Genomic DNA, 21,695 nt, shown 5'->3' with positions numbered 1-21,695 from the left:
TCTTTTGCAAAAGGATTCTACCCTTTTTGGCAGGTGACATGACTTTAGGAGCTAGACATCCAAAAATAGTGGAGGAAACCTCTTTGGTGGGCTGGCCAGTCATCTCTGGCCTGATCCAAATCTAAGAAGGAAGCACACCTACCTAGAATCTGGGGTGTTTTCTTTAAATAAAAATAAAAAATTCCTAGAGAATGTTTAAACCATAAAGCATATTTCTGGTGTCAGCAAATGGCAGGATATAGTAACAGTATGTTCAGGGCTAAATGAAAATTTCTGAATGGATCAAGCCTTAGTCACATAAATGTTATGTAAAAAAATATATTATGTACTTTCCAAGGTCACAGTACAATATGGTGCTTTGAGAGCTAGGTAATGAGAAGTTCAATAATTCTCGAAACACAAGATTCAAACAATAAATAATTAAATTTGTGGTAGCCATATCATCTGAATATAGGGCTATGCTTTATACTCATCCACATGAATGTCAGAGTTGCATGGGCCACTTCTTGAAAGCCAGCAGTTTGGGGGAGTGAGGGTTGAGAAGCCATTTCTTCTAGCTTCAAAAATGAATCTTCTCTCCTTTTTTAGTTAGCAAGAAGATCGAGCACCCCTAAATTCTACCTCAGGGAAATTAGAACCACGTGCATGATTTAATAAGTGAAATAAGGTTTAGCGATTCTGTACCCTTCTTTGATCCTTTTCTTAGACCACAGCTAATTACGGACCAGATAAGCTTTTTCTTGAAAGAATAAATTGGCACGTTTTCAAAGGGAAGTGTTATTATCAAAGGAATAAAAAATGGTCTGAAACTGGCAGTGATGTTTTGAAATCTTAGAATCACATTCATCAAGACGGCCCTCAGCATTTTTATTCTTGCAGTAATCCAGGTGGAGGACAGACCATTAAAATGACTGCTCTAGCTGGCTCCTCCAAAGCTGCCTGATATTTCTACAACCTACAATTGCTCACAAGTTCACACTAAAATCATATGGTCAATGTGTCTGATTCTCTTTTAAAGGCAAATTACAACCTCCAAAAATTTATATCTGAAAAAAAGCTTCTAAAAAAGAACACAAATCATATTCATGCTAAGATGACTATATGAAAAAATTAGATTAGGTAGTATCTGTGAAAAATTTAAAAATATCAGAAAGCTTCTCTTATCTTCCTCTGTGCATGCTCTGTGACACTGTTTTTGAAAAGATATGAATCAAGACATTGTAATAAAGCAGATAATGGTCTCCGTTCAATTAATTAAGGCATGAGTGGGAACACATTTTGGTAACTGCTCAGCAATCAAAATAATCTTGGTGCTATTGCCTTAACATTAACAGTTTATCTTAAAAATAAAAAGAAAATATTCTTTTCCTCATGTCAAAACTTAATAATAAGCTCTTCAAAGAAAAAAAAAACCCTACAAGAATTTTTTGAAACTCTGAAACCAGATGGGTGTCAAAATGTTGTTGTAATAAATACCAATTATTGCATTCATATGTACTTAATGATTTAAAACATACAACCATGCAGTTCCAAAACGGGGCTTAGACTAGACAAAGTTGGGGTTTCTTTTTCCCAAGCATAGGTTGGGGCAGGGGGAAGGCTGAACTTTCACGGAGAAACAACGCATTCCCCCACTTTTGAACAATGCTCACGGCAGTATCTGAAAAGAAGGCGTGGATTCTCAATCACCCACCAGGAAATGCCTGATTCTATATCTTTTCATAATTCCAGTTTCTTCCTTTGCCACCTTTCATTTTAAGGGCGTGTTTATATGTTACCTGCTCCATCGTGTCAGATACGTCTACGTACTGACCTCAGACTGGTCTGTCCTTGAAAACATTACCCTGTTGGTCCAGGCCGTAGGCTCCCTCTCAGCATGCTTGGGCGTGTGCCCCCTCCCCGCCCTGCAGTAGCTGTGTATGCATTTATGCACTAGCTATATTTCTCTCTGAAGCATTAATTCAATGCAGCTGGCATCTGTCACAATAGAAACACCCACTCTCATCTGTTTCTATAGACGATGTCAGAACAAGTGGTAATGCATGGTGTGTTGGACATTTTATAAATTACTGTGTTAGCATTAGTGGTATGCGAGGAAGTGGGTGGGGGGGAGGACACCCCTCAGAGCTCCAAATGGGATTGTTACAAAAAAGACAGCCAGCCAGAAAAGGGCAGGAGGATGAGAGATGGAGCATTTTTCATACACAGGCTTTTTGTAGATGCCCCAGGTAAAAGTTTCTTAGACGTCATCGTATAGAAAGGCATCAAAACCAATTTCCCCAACTGCACACAGGACTGGGTAAGATGGTGCAATGGTAAAAGAGCTCAGGTTTTGAGCCCTAAAGCATTGACAATATCCCTTGTCCACTAACTTCCACTGTCTCGACTCACCTCATCCTGGTGAGGACCCTGCCTATGCAATGGGCTGGTCTATGAAAATTGGAACAGTAACCAAACTGAACTAGAATTTTGGAATCAAGGTATCCAGGTGTACCCCTCTTGATCTGAGTCACCCTAATTTCTTTCCAGCTCTTCAAGAGAGAAAGCAGGTCCTCGCTCACCACTTTGTTAGCACTGTCCTTTGAAAACGAAAAGTCTTGTGCAATCTCCAAGAGGTCTCCACTCTGGAGGGGAGCTGGGGAAATGCATGAAACCCTGAAGTTTAATAACTGCATGTTGCCATGTAGTTATTATCTGTTGAGACTATTTCTCCCCCTGGTTCGTGGCCTTCATCTGAATCATCACATGTGTTAATGTGGTTATTAAAAGAAGGCTGATTTTTACCATACACCATTCTCCTGGTTGTTATGGGGCAACACCTTCCCCAGACTTCTCACTGGTCTGGGGTAATTGGCTGAGCAAAGCACACTAAGTCATGTATGGTAAAACTCAAAATCTGCCGGTGGAGACTCGCCCCCGCCTCCACCGCCAACACACGTTGTTTTGTATGTTGAAGCTGCTGTTTGCCTTCTAGCCCCCAGTTGTCTCTGTGTTAGTTTTTGTAGAGCCTGAGGCCAGTGGGTGACTCTCATTTTCTAATTTTTGTCCTGCCAGTAATGGGTCAGGCACCTCAGAAGATCTGTTTTGGAAACTTGACGCCCTTCAGACCTTCATTCGGGACCTGCACTGGCCTGAAGAAGAGTTTGGAAAGCACCTGGAACAACGGCTGAAGTTGATGGCAAGTGACATGATCGAATCTTGTGTCAAAAGGTAAGTATAGGTGGCTGGACAGGTTCTGCACACCCTCCCCACCATACACAGACTCAGGGAAGGGTAGATGGCTGCTCTTTCAATTGGCTGTAGTTTGAAACTAATTGGAGAAGGGGATTGCTTGTCAAAGTCAGCTGGAGTAGTGGCTGTCAACGTCTAACTTCCATTCACCTGCCCTCCATCTGTCCCAAACCCAAAATAATCTGGCTGCCAATTTTTTCATGGTTGTTGGCTTTAAGAGGAAAAGATCCCTGTCCATTCTTTTTTGTATCCCTGATATCTAGCAGTGTCTGGCACAAAATACTTAACTAGTAAGTATTTGTTAAATGTATGAATGTGTGCCTGAGTGGACAATTAGAAGGGAAAAAAAGAAGAATATGCAATTCTGGAGCTGGCGTATCCAGTATGGCTAGCAGAAATCTAATGGTTTTCTAACAATGTGGATAGGGCCTTAGCATCATCATTCACTCCGTATATAAAAGATGAGCATATATGTGGGCCAACTTGTAGTTGTCTTGTTGAAAATCTAGCTGGATTTCAACAGCGGGGCATGAGACATGGAACATTACATTTTGCCTGCACATAGATTCCCTGTTTTGTCACTGTGGCTTTTAGGACTAGGTTAGGAATGCTGTACTTGAAGTTCCCAGGCAGACTGTTCTGAGAAGGTGAGGGAAAAAAATGAGGACAACATTCATCCATTCAGCAAACATCATTTGAGCTCCTCCCATATGCCAGGCACAGGGCTAAGTTCTTGGCATACAATGAAGAATGAGAGTAGTAGAATCCCTTTCCTCATGGAGTGTCTCCATATCAAATATAGAAATAAAATTCCACTGAGGGGACATCATCATCATCACTCTGTCTACCCCCAGATACACATCCAAGTTCCTTTTCTAGTTCATAACTGTTGCATTATTTTTCCTCATTCAAAAAAAAAAAAAAACCCAGATTGCAAGCAGCACAGGCTACTCCAAATCTCCAGATGTTGTGTAGCTTGGTTGATGGATCAATTGTGGGTGATGGGGGCCGGGTTTGTCTGGAAGTTCTTTGAATTTATTATTTCATATCTTGGAAGAGGAAAGGTGAAGTAATATCATCAGAACTGGAAAGCAAAGAAGCAAAAGAACAATGCAATCTCAGGTAGGTGAACAGCATCTCAGCAGGAATTGAGAAAGGAACTATGCACTATGGAGAATCTGGGCAGGTGTTTGAGGCCACTTCCAGAAGCTTAAAGTTGTAGTGATCCAGATTTTTTAGTATTGCTCTTTTATTCTCTCTCTTAGAACTGAAGGCAGGCCTACTTCTCAAACTCAAGATCAAAATATTTCCTTAGGGTCTTGAATTCCACGATCTCCTAGATAGTCTATATCAATTTTAGGAAAAGCAATGCTTTTCCAATGGCCAAACCATTCCATAAAAAAACTTTTTGCGTGATCTGTCCTAGGGGTGAAATGCATTACAGTAAAGGCTTACCAGTTCCTAAACTGTGCACATAATTGTACAGAAAGACATGCATGTCCTTCATGGAGAGGCCAGTCTGGGTAGGGAGCAAGAAATGGGAAGATGCTCAGAGAAAATGGACAGATATGAGGATGTCACAGGTGGATAGGGACTCTTATCCCTTACCATGCTGTAATCATGTCTTCACGGTTCAGACACCTAAAGAGGGTGAGCTGCACAGAGCCAGGGAGTGGATCTTTTTCATTTGGCGTTCCTTACCCTCCCCAGGTCTCAGCACCATGCTTGGCACACAGTAGCTGTTAAGCAACCTTTTACTGACAGAAGTTGCTCCACTGCACATGTATGGCTGGCCTGGACACTTAAATTTCCTGATGTCCCTTTTAAATCAGCCCAAAAGCAGACAAGAGCAAAAATGGGTGGAAATACCCCCGGACCTACAGATTCAGAGGACAGAGCATGGACGAGTTTTTGAATGTTTTAATACATAGAATCTACATTAGAAGAGCCTAGAACCGTTGTTCTCCTTGGTAGAACAGATTCTGTGTCCCTTGTTCTAAGCCAACATAGCAAGGACATTGTTTCATAGGTATAAATATGCCATGACAAAAAGTCAATAAGGCACTCCTCATGTTTCAGTGCTCCAGAAATTTAATTCATCAATTTGACAGACATTTACAGAGCCTCTAGTCTAGTCTATATCAGGTTACTTGTGCTGAACACAAAACAAGGCATGCTGTCTTTTGCCCTCAAGGAGTCAGTTGAGTTAAATGACCTCTCCTTTTCTGGCGTTTTGGTCCTACAGAGCCCTCTCAGTCATATTAATTTTGCATTCAGCTTCCTCTTTTCACAGCCCTGCACTCCAAGGGCTATGAACAGTTCTCCTGTGAAAACTGAAGACGATTACTTCATTGGAAGGGAGCAATTTAGCATTTCCATTTCTCAAATTGGGCCGGAACTGGCACACAAGCCTCAGAAGATCAGCACAGGGACCTGTCCAACTCAGTCCTCATCAGGCCTCCTTTTCACAAAACCGGCAAATGATGTATTTTCAGCGTAGCTTAAAATGATCATCATGATTAGAAAGCTACTTGAGTGCACTGAATCTTCAGAAGCCAAGATACATTTATCTTTAACATGATCATATAATATATAGGGGTGTTTTAAGGGTTTGGGATTTTTAGGTGTTTTTTTTTTTTTTTTTTTTTTTTTTTTCTTAAGAACTGGGCTCCCAACCTTAGAAATTATACTTGGCTTCTCTGCATGCACTCAGGGTGTGTTAGCAAGCTGGCATCCTTTCCTGAGCTAACTAGCTGTGTGGTCCTCCTATGCACTGTTAGAAAACTGCTACAAATTCCTCTTAAAGTAATGCTTTCCTGGTGGCTGTATGATCTCCAGAACTTGACAGTGAACAATGCCAAAAAGATGCATCAGGCAAATGGGGCCTTAATAAAGCCACTTACTAACCAGGTGCTTTTCTTTAAAGACATTTGATGATATCACCCACTTCCCTGAAACCTTTTAAAATATAACTAGGCCCCTTTTACAATGCTGATGTCAAGGATAAGATCTCCCACCTGTATTACCAGCTGGCCATGTCAGGCTAGGCTTTTTCTATGAGTTGTTAGCACATTGCTGAGATCCTAATTTGACCAATGTCAGAATTATGTTACTTTCAGATTCCACCATCACACAATTCTTGAATTTGTATATGTATATTAAGCGTACATATAAAATAGTTGTATATTATGACATTTTAAATCATAAAATAATGTATTTTATTGCAAAATAATACATTGACATTGAAAACAAAACATAGTGGAAGTCCCCCAATACCACACCTCCTAATTTCCCTCCCCTCCTCAAAGGTAGCCATCTTTAACAGCTTGATGTATTACCTTTTTATGTCCTTTAACAAGCAAAATAAATTTTGTAGTCTTTAAAGCAATGTAATACACTTGCTGGATTTTAAATTTTTGTCTCTTTCAAAACCAGAAAGGGGAAAATAAAAACCCACAGCAATAAACATCATTTAAGATTTTTTTCCCCACCACGAGGTTTTGAAGATTAAAAACTGCTTTGGTTTTTGTTTGTTTTGTTTTATTAATGAAGTAATTCAAGGTAGGCAGTTGCCAATGTGAGAGAACTTACATATGCTATACTGCTATAATCGAGTTTTTGTGAATTCATTCATTCTCCTGCAATTAAGGTTCTCCATAGCATGTAAACTATAGAGAGAAATACGCCAAGCTACAAGTGTTCCGGGTACTGCCGGAAAGGAAGGGTGTGCATGTCTGTCTCCGTGAATAGGCCTTCCTTAGTTGGGAAAGTCATTTAAAAGGGAACACATGTGAAGTCATTGTTGACTGAAACTGATTACAGCCTTCAATTTTCTTTTTCACTGACCTCTCAGAAAATATCTCCTCCACCTGCTGCCATCTGAACGCTGAATTGGTCTTTTCCTACTTTGTTTTAATAGAACCAGGATTGCATTTGAAGTTAAGCTGCAAAAAACCAGTCGATCAACAGATTTTCGAGTCCCACAGTCAATATGCACCATGTTTAATGTTATGGTTGATGCCAAAGCTCAATCAACAAAACTTTGCAGCATGGAAATGGGCCAAGAGGTAAAAAAAAAAAAAAAAATACAGATTTTTTTTTCCCTCTTCATTGATCATGTAGAAGAAAACTTCACAAATTCCTTCCATCTACCCTAGTCTGCTAGTTTCAGAAATACACTCTAACATTTGTGGATTAAGCCATGGATGAGTGTTCAGTATCTGTTTGTCAAGTAGATTTCTAAGGCATGTGCTGATGAGAATGTCAGTCACTTGGAAGTGATTCTTGGCTGGAGTTGGGGTGGCCATATAGTTCTCTAAGCTAAATGAAGTTTGACGACCTTATTTATTAGGCTGGTGTCTCGAACAGATCTGTGTTTGCCAGAATGAAAGTCATTTTCACATTTGAAGTGCATTTTATCACTTTGAACATCTGGACAGCAAGAGAGGCCTTTCTTGCATCAAACAACTTCCAGGATGTATAATGTTAGATCACCCTGCTACCCAATCCCCAGCCAGCAGGTTCTGAATTTCCAAAAAAAAAAAAGAAAAAAAAAATTGCAGACTTTCAATTTTCCTTAGACTGAATTGATCATGAATCTTTCCTGACCAAAAGTTTAGTCCTTTGCTAAGTTTGCAATTCCAAAGCAGTATTTAAAATGTAAAGGAGAAGGAAACAGCAACTTGGGCTTGATTAAAGACTATCATGATCATTTTTCTCTGATGGCCTTAAGCCAGCTAGATATTCATATACCAATTTAGAATTAATTCAGAAGCATTTCTGGCAACTCTATGTTGTTGCCAATTGGCATAAATTGCTCCTAAATCAGATCTTTCGATACCAGCCTTACATGTTCAGAATTTTTACTAAATTATATTTGCTCCTTATTCGTTATTTATTTTCTCTTTCAGCACCTTCCATTTTTAAATGTGGGTTGGTGGTATTCTCTTCCTGGCAAGATCATCTTCAACCTTGTTTCCCCTACAAGTCAGCTTCCTCAGCCCCCACCCCCACCCTGGTTAACTCTGTTCCTGACTAATTTTCTTGTCGAGGACCTTTTCCTGGGGATTAAGTTCTAAGCACTGGAGTCAAATTCAGGGTGCCCTTGGTTCTCTGTCCCAGCATCGTGTGCTCATATGAATGATCTGGGGCAGTGGTTCTCATGTTTCAGTGTACGTTAAACTCACCCAGAGAGCATCTGAACACCCAGATCATTGAGTCTCACCCAAGAATTTCAGATAGGTCTGCGGTGTGGTCTAAGAATTGGCATTTCTGACAAGTTCCGTGGCGATGCTAATGCTGCTGGCTGTTCCAGAGACCACACTATGAGAACCACTGATCTGGATACTCAGTATGTAAACCTGACTTCAGGGGAAGGACTCAGGTAGGAAGGATAGCCCCCCTTGGGGAAGACCTGGGTTCGGTGTTCAGAAACCTAGATTCTTCCCCTGGCTGAGCTGAAAGCTGGAGTTTGACAAATCACTCAGCTTCTTTGGGCCTCAGTTTCCTCATCTGTAAAATGGTAGCACTATTCTAGTTTTATTCAGGGTGTTTTTAGTGGCACAATCTGTTTTTCAAAGCAAATCAAGAAGGCCAGCATGTGACACAAATAAAAGTACAGCTGCTCTGGATGGAGAGGGGAGGAGGGGGCCTAGAGTCCAAGCTGCCAGGTGGCCCTCTGCTCTGCACCTCTTCACTGCCCACCACCCACCTAAGCTGCTCTGGAATATTTAAACAATCTCTTAGGCTTCATCAAGCCCACTTTAAAGGCCCTGTTTTTGGTGATCTCAAAAGTTCATTGAGATCCCTTTGAGTTCATATTTTCCAGAATCCTGTTCCTCCTTAATTTTTCTCCCCTTGGAGCTACTGTTTTTAAAATTGAGATATAATTCACATACCCATAAAATTCACCAGTTTAACATGTACAATTTTGTAGTTTTAGTGTATTCACAAAGTTATGCAGTCATCACCACGGTCAATTTTAGGACATTTTTATCACCTGAAAAACTGAGTACCCATTAATTCTCACACCCCTCCCTTCTTCACAGCCCTAGGTAATCACCAAAATACTTTCTATCTCTAAGGATTTAACTATTCTGAACATTTCATATAAACAAAATCATACAATATGTGGCCGTTTGTGTCTGGCTTCTTTCACTCAGCACAGTGTTTTCAAGATTTATCCATGCTGTAGCATGTATTGTTCGCTCCTTTTTATGTATTTATTGACCATTGTATATTTTCTTTAAAGAAATGCCTATTCAAAATCTTTTGCCCATTTAAAAAATTGGGTTATTTGTCTTTTTATTATTGAGTTGTAAGAGTTCTTTATATGTTCTGGATACTTGACCATTATCATATATACGATTTGCAACTATTTTCTCCCATTCTGTGGGTTTTCTTTTTCATCTTCTCGATGGGATCCTTTAAAACATAACAGGTTTCTTTTAAATTAAATGCAGTGCAGTTGACCTATTTCCCCTTAAATCTTCTTGAGATGTACATTTTAACTGAGTTTTCTAAGGATGGTGCTAGGCCAGGGTGCAGAAGGGTTGATACAACAGGACTGGTCTTGCCTTCTCCTCAGCAGCTTTTGCAGTCCCTCCCCAGCTTGATTCAATGACGGCCATGTTTCAAAAGCTCCCACATACCTGGTCAGATGGTTAAACAATTCTTCCAAACAAGCCAAGTCACTTTGATCTGGGCTGTTTTGCTTTTGAGCTGGGGGTTTAGGGAGAGTAGTGGGAGCGTGGGAGTTGCTGTCACAAACTTCACTGAGAATATAAAAAAAGGTATGGAGCCATTTCTCAGGGGAAAAAAATACTTTCATATATTATTACTCTACAATTTCAGACGACCTGGGGACCTTCTTGACCAAACCATAGACCCCAGTTGGAGACAGAGGATGAGAAAGACCAAGTTGACTTTTATCACAATGGCGGACCCTTCTTTTCTCTTTACCACTAATTGCTTCTGGGCCAAGGTAGAATGACCTTAGCTTGACCTGGGAGTCTGGTTTTATAGAAGAATAAGTTGCCTTTTGGTTTAATCATGACATCGTATGGACTCCATACCTTAGCTGCCAAACGATGTGTCATCATTTGCTGAATGAAGAACATAGCATGCAACACACAACCTTTGGGAAGTATGTGGTTTGTTAAAATTGGGTATTAAATAAAGTCCCCTAATTCTGGATATAAAATCAGAAAGTTGTCTTGGACTTGCAGTAACATTTTTGACATGAAACAGCAGTGTCTATTTCTTTCTAGACATTGTTCTATTTGATAAAGTAGAAAAGACTACCCATACTCTCCCCATGTGACTCAACATAATTTTTTTAATGAAAACAAATAACCGAGGCTTGTAAACATTTCTTGTTTCTCCCAAAATAGCGCGCACACACACACACACATCTAGACTGAATATCTTTATTAAGGGCCCATCCAATAATGCATCCTAGTCTATGATTCTTATTGTAAGACTGTTGGTTTTTTTCCCAAGCCATCTTAGAGAGATCTTTCGTGACATTTTTCCTTAGTATAATTGAATCTGAGACACTTAAATGACCAGCTGTGGGAAATGAGGCTTCTTTGAATGCCAAGTGGCTGAGAACAGGTGAGAATAAAGCTAGCTTGACTTAATTGTCTGTAAATATGTACTTCTTCTAAGTGGTCTAGCACAGTGGCTGTAACCTTAATCAGAACTTCAATGGAAAGTCATATGGAAATGTTTCCTCCTTGATTTTTCTCACTTTGTAGAATGGGAATATTCATCTCCAAAGTAAAGCTGAGTTGCTAAAATGAGATTTAACAAGAATATCTGGAAACATCCTGGAACTGGGATAAGAATAGATGAAAGTCCAATGTTTTTATGTAGTTTGTATTTCTGAGTATGGGATATGAAGCCCATATTATAGACCTAGCTACTAATACCAGCCTCCACCTGGGTCCCAACTCCCTCAACCTGCTTTAGATTAGATACTGGCCAGGTGATGAAATCTCCATTTTTAAGATCGCATCCTGGATTTCATCATTGGGTAATATCACATGTAAAGGCAGCTGCTGAAACATTTGTTAAGCATAGTTTTCCATCTTAAGTATTTATTTTTTTCATTAAAATTTGTGAAGTACCAATAGAAGGGAAATTGCGTATTAAATAGTTTCTCACTTGGTCTAGTGTGTTTTCATCTCATTTCCAAGGTCAGATGGTCTTAACAGAAAGACAACATACACACAATCTGTTCTATGACAAGGCAAAACGTGTAGCACAGGAAGTCAAGTGGAATGATTTTCACACAGTAATTGTGAATTTGCACCTCAGCCCATCAGAAGCAAAAGTGAACTGACCAAACTTTCCAGGCCATTGAATATTAGTAGTTCCCTCAGGATATAATTTTGGAGTATAGGGCAAGTTAATCCAAGAAGGCCAGTAGAGGCCGGACGTGGTGGCTCACACCTGTAATCCCAGCACTTTGGGAGGCCAAGGTGGGCGGATCACGAGGTCAAGAGATCGGGACCACCTTGGCCAACGTGGTGAAACCCTGTTTCTACTAAAAATACAAAAAAATGAGCTGGGCGTGGTGGCGCACACCTGTAGTCCTAGCTACTCGGGAGGCTGAGGCAGGAGAATCACTTGAACCCGGCAGGTGGACGTTGCAGTGAGCCGAGTGCTGCTGCACTCCAGCCTGGCGACAGAGCAAGACTCCATCTCAAAAAAAAAAGGCCAGCAGAGAGGACTGGAAAATGGGAAAATGGTAAAGCTCCCTCTTTGTACCGTATCTGGATAGTCGATCAGACTGCAAGGCATTTTATAACAAAATTGTCTAGTAGGAATGTTTGTTAATTAAAAGTTGCCCCACTGATATATATATACCCCTTCATGGAGCTTCACATCTGCACAGAACAATATATCTCCCAAGAAAGATCAAGGAGTGAAAGCAGAGTACTCACTATTACTCCAGAAAGCAAGTTAATCCAATAAGTCTCATATATCAGGGAAAACTAGCAAAAGGGATTCACGTATTCTGTAATTACTTGAATAGGAATAGGGGCTGCTTTGATATTTACCTCTTTGCTACATGATAAACAGAGTAATTATTACCCTGCTCTGCTATCTTCCACAAAGAAGCTTATATTTAAATTGAGGCATAATTTACATACAACAAAATATAGAGATTTTAGGTGAGTTTAGAGAAATGTATATACACATGCAACCACTATGTTAATCTATTAATCATAGTAGTAGTAGTAATACTGCCACATAGCACCTCTCAGTTTCTAAACCACGTTTCCATGCATTGTTTCATTATTTGGTTAAGTGAATATGATGTCTATATTCACAAGTTATAATTCTAGCCCCACTGCAAAAATGAGGAAATAGACCAACAGAGATTGACATGATAAAGTTTCCCCTGGATGGGAGAGACAGAATAATCATATCAAAATACTTTGTTTTATAAGCAGAAAAAAAGCAACGTTCATTATAACAGAAGAGGAATGGAGATGATCATATTTGTATGGAGTGAAAGGGAGAGATAGTGGGACTGCCTGGAGAAAAATTAAGGCGAAGTTTGGCATGGAAAAATTGAAATGGGAAGAGGTTCCCATAAATCATCATATTTCCATAAGCCACGATGTCTCAACCATGTCTCCTTATGAAAGGGTTTGAAGTTTCTAGCTCCTGAAGAGAAAGCTTGTTTCTCTTGGGAGAAAGAATGACATCATTAACTCCTCAGAGTAAGACCCTAAATCTTTGTTGGTGTGTGGAGAACAATTACTCTAGTCTCTATTTGCCACTTCAGCCCAGTTTTTCAAGAGAGTGTTTTGTTTCTCAATGATGTTCTTCTTTGCTTGGTATATTTCATATTATTTTGCACACAGCTAGCTTTTCTGATTTAGTTTACTCCCATAATTAATAAATGTGAATCATTTATAGCAATGCAAAGAAAACCTAGACGAGTGAGGCAGTCATATGAGGAGGAAAAGTAAGCATGTGATTCTGGATCTTATCTCAAGACCTAAAAATGAATTTGGAGCCCTGTCAATTTTCCTGAATTCTTTTGCTCTGACATCTTTCTTTGTGTTTCTAGCAAAGAATTCTGCAGATAAATTTTTTGCATTTAGCTTCAGGTTTATGCCACTTAGGAGTAAATTCCTTTTTGAATCTAGCAGTATAGCCAACATGGGTTCTGATTCAACGGGACTACAACATACAAGCCATTAGCTGTATTATTTTTCCTCTAATCAATTAAAATGAAACTGGAGGAGATGACTAAGTGATAAGACTGTCTCTCTCTACCCTTATCTAATACTTGATGAACTTGAACAACTAACAATATTTGAGTCACGATGACAGTTGACAAAATATTTTCACATCTAGACTCTCACTTGATCTCCCAAACAGAGACTTATGAGTCTGAAGGCATGACTACAGGAAAGGACTCGGGCACTGGTTTTTAAAATAATAATACTAGCATAGACCCGCTAAAAATCTTTATACAGGGTTGGCTTTGTTCCCGTTCCAAAATCAGAGTTTCATACTGGTTTCTCCCTTCTCATTGGTCCAGGATGATAGTATTATTATCTCTTTTGTTTGTTTTTTACAGATAAGGAAACTGAGTTAAATTTTCATAGGTAACATGACTTCCCAACTTTGCACTGGGACTTTATCCAGGTCTTCCAATTACAAACAAACCTCGCCTATGATTCTAAATGGATTTACCTAATTCACATCCCTTTCCTCACTCTCAATAATTCTGATTGCCAGTTATCAGAATATTAAACCACATTACTATGGCTTATTTCCATATGTTTACATAGACTTTTGAATATTTTATTTAATTTTTATTTTCTCATGTGTCCTTTTGTCCTAATTTGTATTTGCACTGTTCCTTTTTTTTTCTGTTCCTAATTAATCATCCTTCTGAAAGTTTGCTAAAATGTGGGTAAGTGCATTTTCCTTTTCAAATAACAATGTCTTGCATTGTTATTTTTTGTTAGGGAAATATGGGATAATTCAAATGGATACTAAAATGATCTAATAAATGTCAAGGAGCTGGCATATAATATTTTGTGTTAAAATCACTTTTCCTTTTTCCCTGGCATTTACAGCAGATTTTTATTTGTGTGGGGGTTTGTCTTCACATTACTATTTAAATGTAATTGACAGGCACAGTTAGAGAAATTTAAAAACTTAGCAGTGGTCTCAGTGTAGGCTCTCATACTGGGTCTGTTTATCCATGTATGGAGGAAATGAGTGGCTTGCCACAAGAGTTCAGAAAGAGACACTTTGCCTTTATACTGAGTCAAGACTTGGAGACAAAATGAGGAGTTCTGAGGTATTAACCCAAAGAACCTGAGGGTTTCAGAACAGTTTTTGCAAAATTAGTCACAGTGTCTTCATCAAATTCCCTTTGGAAAGGGAATCTACTACCTAAGCCACAACCCCCAGCAGTTTTCCAAAGATAATTTTTAATCTCCTGTGTTAAATTATTACAGTATCCTGCTTTGTAAGATCCAAATCAACACACTGCTGGGTCATTAAGTCATTCATGTGTGCTATTTGTAAAAGTGTTTAAGTGTCTACACACATTAGAAGCATCGAAAGCCTTGAGTAAGGAACAATGAACTTGGTAATATTTTTAAGAGCTTCAGATCTCTCTCTATCAAAGAACTGGAGTCAGGATCTTATAAATATTTCTGGGACTAAGGAAATAAACGGGGTCCGCAGGCCAGGCTTTATTTATAAATTAAGTTGTCTAAAAATTACTGACGGATGCAGTGCCATCACCTCCCAAACATGCTAATATTTGTCTTTCTGTGTTCTTAGCATCAATACCATTCAAAAATAGACGAACTAATTGAAGAAACTGTTAAAGAAATGATAACACTCTTGGTTGCAAAGGTAACCTCCAGCTTCAGGTGAAATGTTTCATTGTGAACACTGCTTTGTTATGTCTCCATTTCCATTAAAATGTAACACATTAAAAAGTTGAGCTGGATACTTGTGTCTCTCAGGAAACAAGATTGTACATCACCCAGCCTCAGCTCTAAATGATTTTCCGATGATCTCGAGCCGTGTGAAGATAAATTGATGAAGTGGCATATGTTAACTTAATAAGAATTTGTCCCCAAACGTTGCGCTAGGTTATATGAGAAATGTTTGTTTTGTTTTTCAGCTCTGACAAAGTTAGATTTTTAAATACAGAAAGTTAAACGGTAATAAGGAATTCTGCCATCATGAAAACCCCTTTTCCTCTAGTTTCACATGCAGTGAGAGTCATAATAAAACATAAAAGTCAGATAAAGCTATTTCAGTCACCCTCATGAATTATAGAATTTTAACTAAGTAATGCTGAATGGGAAGACATTTATATTTGCCAGTGCTAAACTTCTGTTTCCCCCAAATTACTGATAAAATACAAATAAAAATAGATTGGATTAAATGTAGTGCTAATATGTAACGTAGAAACTGCTTTGCGCAGTTTTGGATTTTAAAAAGTGCATTTAATATTATCGCATGCTATATGCAACTCAATAATATTTTGTCACTTTGCACTTCTGTAACACTCTATATTTGCAATCACATAATAATGAAGAGAAAGCCGGATAAGTCAAATATTTCTATGTAAAGGCAGTCTATTCCTTTCTCCGAAGGCGGGAATCAAATAATAGACTGCAGAAATGAACGGAGGGCTCGATCCCAGCCTTTATGTGGTGGGGAAATGATGTGCTTTATGGTGAACAATTATAGTTTGAAATAACATTTTTTTCTTTTTTGCTGTTTTTCTAGTTCGTTACTATCTTGGAAGGAGTGCTGGCAAAATTATCCAGATATGACGAAGGGACTTTGTTTTCTTCTTTTCTGTCATTTACCGTAAGTAAAGAGCTTCTTTATTTCCTGGCTTTTGTTTTAATTTTTGGTTTCGGCTTGGGAGAGGAGTTATGTTGTGTCATTTTGTTTTGGGATGGGTGTGTGTGTTAATTATAGTCAACTATTGTATAATATTAACACTATGTGAAAAGCCAAACATTTAATAACAGCAGGTAATCCAACATCATTTCTATTTCATTTGTAAAGGTACAATATGTGTGTATTTTTTATGAACACACACACACATTGCTATTTGTATGCATCCAGAGATTTGCCTACCTAAGCCCACCTTAGCTAGCTCTGGCAAATGACTTAATGTGGGCCACCATTTCCTCATCTGTAAATAAGAAAAATTAATTTTAGAGTTTTAAATGAAGACCTGCACTCAGTCCTGGAAATATGTTTTATATGGTCCTCACTGTGTCAAGTATGTTCTTCTTAACTGAATTGCCTACATTTAAAAATCAGGAGAATTCACAGAAAATTCTGTATTTCTGGGGGTGCCTGCATAGCATTCTAGGTGCACAGCAACTCTGCTGGAGCTGTGTCTTGGGGGTCTTAGACTGGACATGTGTTTGCAGTTTGCTGTAACCCCCTCCTGGCTGTTTCACTCATTCACATACCTACCTGGGCTTAGGAGCCATTTAAGTTTACAACTTCTGGGACATATGATCTAATTATTTGCAAATTCCAAGAGGCCCTGATTCTGTGCCAGAATTAGGCAAGGCCATAGAAATGAGGTAGCTAAGTCTGGGCAGAAACCAGCCTTATTTTCTATGGATAAATGATCAATGAAGATGGTTGCTATAAATGGACTGCTTCGGGGGCCCAGTTCTCCCACTCTTCCTGATGCTAGGCAGACACCACAGCTGCATGCTTCCCTGCCATTTCTGACAGCAGGTTCCTGCTGGCTCTGAGACTAGCTGTTTTCCTCTGACAACACCATAGGAAAGGGAATCAATTTAGGACCCACTGCCTGTGGGTCTTTAAAACAGCCTCACTGTATGAAGAATCTCCCAGATAGTGACTGAATGCCAAGACAAGGCCCAGCACAGGGTAGTGGATGGCACATTATTGTCCTTGGAATCCAACAGATCCAGGCTCAAATCCCATTGCCAATGTTAACAGCTGTCTGATCTTAAGCAAATGTCCCATCCCCTCAGAACCTCAGTTTTCTCATTTGTAAGGGAGTGCAGGGCAGATAATATGTTCCCTAATGAGCTATCATGAAGATAATAACGTAGGCAAAAGAGCTTAGCATAGGCCTAGCTCATAATAGAGTTCAATAAATGGCAACTATTATTTTTAAAAAGTAACTAATATGATTATTGTAAAATGCAGACATACATGCACACAACTTCTTTCCAAATATGCCCTACTTTGATCTTTCCCCAACCCATACATTAATCTTCCTGGGAACTAAGGGAAATATAAACAGAACATTTAAAACAGTTTCTTCTGATATGCAGTTCTGACCTTCCCAGGTACGAGGATTGAATTCAATCCCAGAGGTGCGATGGCCCCTATCCCTGGAGCTTATTGGCAAAGGTGAGGTGGGAAGGGGATAATGACAGTAGGAATTCCATCCAATTTCACTTATGGAACATTCCTATAATGTGTCACAGCTGAAAGGAAACCTATCCAACCCACTCCTTTGACAAAGCAATGAAGGCCCAGAGAGGGGAGTGATTTGTCTGAGGTCACACAGCAATGGGCAGAGTGGGGACAGGAACCAGTGTGTCCTGCCAGCTTTCCCCCACCACTGAATGGCTTCCTGGAGAGAGTGGGATTCAGCTGGCAATTGCCTGGCACTGGAAGGCAGATGGGCAAATGAGTGGGGAAGATTCATAAAGAAGGATTCAGGGCACATGAGTGGGAAATATTAGACAATGTTTCATTCCTCAGTGAAGTCCTGGAAATGGTGAAAAGAAACAGAATTCAGTGCAACATTTCTGGAAAATGTTTCCCTGACACCCGTAGAAGACATTGCTTTCTTTGTGTCTTCACTTTGAGCAACTGTTTTTGTTGCATTGGACTTGAACCTGTGAAACTCAGGAAAGCTCCTCTACTCTTTACTGAGCAGAATTCAATCCACCAAGGGCCCCACCCTAATTACTGGCCTACCAAGAGGACTATGGGAAGGTGGTCCAGGGGCAGCGATATCAAGAACAGGGCACCAGAGAGTCTCACAGGAAGATTAGAAACAGGACACCCAGAGCATCCTATGCAGAAGTGTTCAAACTGAAATTCCCATCCTCTCATCTCCCTTTTCAGAGACATTTTGCAGCCTCACAGCATGCCTAGCAAAGGCAGTGTAATGCAGAACACTTCGGTGCCTGTTGCTGGGCCCGTAACTTCCCTCCTTAGTGACACTTCTCCCACACACTTGGCCACCCCAGGCCAAAAGCACCCACTTATCATTTGCAGCCCGTGTTCTCATCTCCTGCCAGTATTCCAGTATTAGAGAAAGTGAACTGTGTTTAGAGGTGGCAGGAATATCTCCACACATGGATTCTGAGTTCCTGCCCAAATTCCAAATGGCCTTTGATGGCTTCCTTCGGCCCAATTGTGTTAATTCCCCAGGAGTGGAGTGGAAGTAAAAAGGATGAGCAGAGGCAGCAGGTATTGTGCAAAGAGCTTGAAACCTGTGAAAGAACCAGCTGTGCGTCCTAGGACCCTGTGCAGAGGCATAGAGATAGTGCCGACGCTCTGGCATGAGTTTCTTAACTCCACTCCCATTTCTGATTCAATTCCTTAAGTATTACTGTGCACTTACCACGTCCCCACCTCAGCAGAGCTGCCAAGGATGAGCCATGTGCTCTGCCCCCCAGAAAGCTGACGAGTATCGACAAATATGCCACCCTTTCCCCCTCTTTCTCCCGCTGAGCGCCTCCTTTCCTGGGTGGGCTTGTTTCATGGTCCAAGCCAGACATTTTGGAAAACGTCTGCAGTGGCACGGAGCAGGCAGGAATATTTATTTCTCGTCTCCATCTGCATTGCTTCCTCTCTTGGAGAGGAGCTGGAGGGAGGAGGGAGGATGAGATGTGGCTTCTTCGTGCCAGCCCGAGAGGCGCCCAAGCGCACCCTCCTCTCCTCCCTCACCAGCTTCAGCAGCAGTAGCAGCCTGGGATTTATGGAGGCAGGCGCCTTTCGAACTTTTGAAAGATCAGCCCAGTTGGAAGACGCAATTAGCAACTATCTGCCCATTTCCCTTGACTACAAGATGTGCTTTTGCGTGGGATGCCTGTTTGGAAGGGTCCCTGTCTTGTGGGTAGCCACTCGCTGTTCTTTTAGGAGGCCAAGAAGAGGGCAAGCAGGTACCCAGGTTCCTCCCACAGAAAGTGACAATGCTTTCCTCTGTCCTCTGCAAGTGTTAACAAATATGCTGGTTCTGGAATTCATTCATTCATTTACTCAACTTCTATTTACTGAGCACCTATGTGTCATGTTCTGTGCTAGGTGCTAGGGACACAGCAACGAGCTAGAAAGGTGTGTTCTCGGCCCTTTTGGGAGCTTACATTTAGTAAAGGAGACAGGCAATTAAAAATGAAAGAAAATTATCCGGTGGGAGAAGCATTTCCACAGGACATAAACTGGAGAGCAAGAGAAAGCGGGGAGGTGATATTACTTTAGTCAGGATGCTCAGGCAAGGTCTCTCTGCAGAGGACATGAGCGACTTAAGCTCTCAAGCTTGAAGGAGTCAGCGATGGATACAGAAGAGGGGAGAATCTTCTGGACAAAATAGCAGCTGCATTAGCCAGGAGGCAGGAAAGCAGGAGGCACTTCTGTGGATATTTTGGAGGCCACATAAACACGGTTTAGGGATTAAGTGAATGTTGGGGGTGGAGACTTGACTGGAGAGGGCAAAGGTGGAAAGCCCGAGAACTATGATATACCGGAGAGCTCAGCTGAGCTAGGAGTCCTGAGAGTCCATGGAGTACAGTAAAAAAGACAGCACAGGGTAGGGAGACTGGGATGGTAACCCAGCTCTGCCCCTTACCAAGGAGCTGTGTGACCTGGAACAAGGTACCACATCTTGGCTTTTAATCTCCTTCAGTGTAATATGATGATGGTTATATTAGATGAATTCAGAAGTCTAAAATAACTATAAGAGCTACAGCTCCTATTCCTTAAACACTTGCTAAGTGCCTGGCACAAAGCTATGTGCTTTAAATGTATTTTTCCTGCTGAATCCTCAGAACAATCCCATTCCAACAACACTCTTCTGCAGATGTTGAAACTAAGGCTTGGAAAGGTTAAGCTCCCCCCAGCTCACGTGAATTCTTCCTTCACTAAACCCTGGGGCCCCTGCAGAGGAATAAAGATGTAGGAGTAGCCCAGGCCCCATCTCAAAGCAGACAGAACCTTATCAAGTTCTGTCTGAACTTTATATCAAGTCTTCTCAAGTCCCCTAGAATTCAGACATCCTCCTCCGATCAAATAAATCCATTTGAGGTGGTCACAACACAACATGGAAGCCACTCACAACAGGAAGAATAAAGCCTATCTTAGGGCTGTCAAGGGCCTGAAACCTACCGTATGTCCAGTCTTCTTTGTCTTAAGTTACTCTCATTCACCCTGTTTTCCTTTTGCCAGCATTTTGATTGTCTTGCCACCTGGAAATGAAACAAAACAGATATGTTTCTCCCCACTAGAATTTGCGAGACGTTTGTGTAAATCAGTAGCATTGACTGCTTTTGTGCAGAGCTCTTGATGCCATGCCTTAGAACGAGAATGCCACCTGGGTCTAAAGCCCAAACTGAATCAATGACATTCACTTCTGTTCACAGAACATTTTTGTTAAGAGGCAGTCTGAATTCTAGAGTGGGGTGAATATTCCTCAGAGTTTGTTAGTATTTTCTCTGATGGCATTTCACTTATGCTTTGGCTTCAGGGAATGTCCAGGGTAGGAGAGACGGCTTTTTACAGTGTGGGTTGATGATGAGTGATGCAGACAGAGGTTTTGGTTCACCCTCCAGAGGGTAACATCACCAGATTATTCACTGCCAAATACATGTAATTTTTAAGTCAATTGGCTTCTATATTTCAGAGTGGAGGTGTCTGCCTTGGACAGAAGCACCAACTGTGGTAGTAGTAGCTGGCGTTTATTGAACACATACTATGTGCCGGACACTGTGCTAAGTGTATGCATGCATTTTCTCATTTGATCCTCACAATCAGTCTATGCAACTGATTTAATTAGCATCCCCATTTTATAGATAAGTGATGGTGAGTGATTTGTCAAAGTCGCATAGTTATTAAGACTCTACCCTAAATTGCTCCTTTATTATTACAAAAATGTTATTCCCCATATATACACAGAAATCTGTAGGTGAAGTCAATTAGTGACTTTTCCAGAAACTATCCACTAGCTGATACTACTTCTAAGGGAAAGAGTCATCTATTTTTCATATATTACCAGCAAAAATAATTTATAAAGATTTTACTCACCAGCCAGCTATTTTACCGTAGTACTGAAGTAATAGACATTCAAAATTCTCCACTTCCTTTGTGCTGTCCAGATAATCATTCATTTTACATTAGTCCTTCATTCTATACCTGTTTATGGAGTGCCTACTATGTGCTAGACACTG

At 40.4% G+C, this 21,695-nt stretch overlaps 1 protein-coding gene across 50 annotated transcripts in view; it reads left to right on the top strand.

Annotated features, from left to right (window-relative positions):
* Nucleotides 1-21,695, top strand: part of CADPS (calcium dependent secretion activator) — a 477,069-nt gene that overhangs the window by 393,946 nt on the left and 61,428 nt on the right. For 29 of the 50 annotated variants that reach the window (NM_183393.3, NM_001438352.1, NM_001438351.1 and 26 more), the window contains 4 exons: nt 3,055-3,210; nt 7,151-7,298; nt 15,058-15,132; nt 16,021-16,104. In NM_183393.3, coding sequence (NP_899630.1) covers nt 3,055-3,210; nt 7,151-7,298; nt 15,058-15,132; nt 16,021-16,104 — 463 coding nt within the window. Of the gene's footprint in view, nt 1-3,054; nt 3,211-7,150; nt 7,299-14,158; nt 14,174-15,057; nt 15,133-16,020; nt 16,105-21,695 lie in introns of all 50 variants that reach the window. The other 21 variants (XM_011534199.3, XM_017007378.2, XM_017007368.2 and 18 more) reach the window with 1 other exon arrangement.

Source organism: Homo sapiens, chromosome 3 (assembly GCF_000001405.40).
Source record: "Homo sapiens chromosome 3, GRCh38.p14 Primary Assembly".
Classification (NCBI taxonomy): Eukaryota; Metazoa; Chordata; class Mammalia; order Primates; family Hominidae; genus Homo; species Homo sapiens.
Note: the sequence above shows the minus strand (reverse complement) of the source record. Positions and strands in the feature narration are given on the sequence as shown.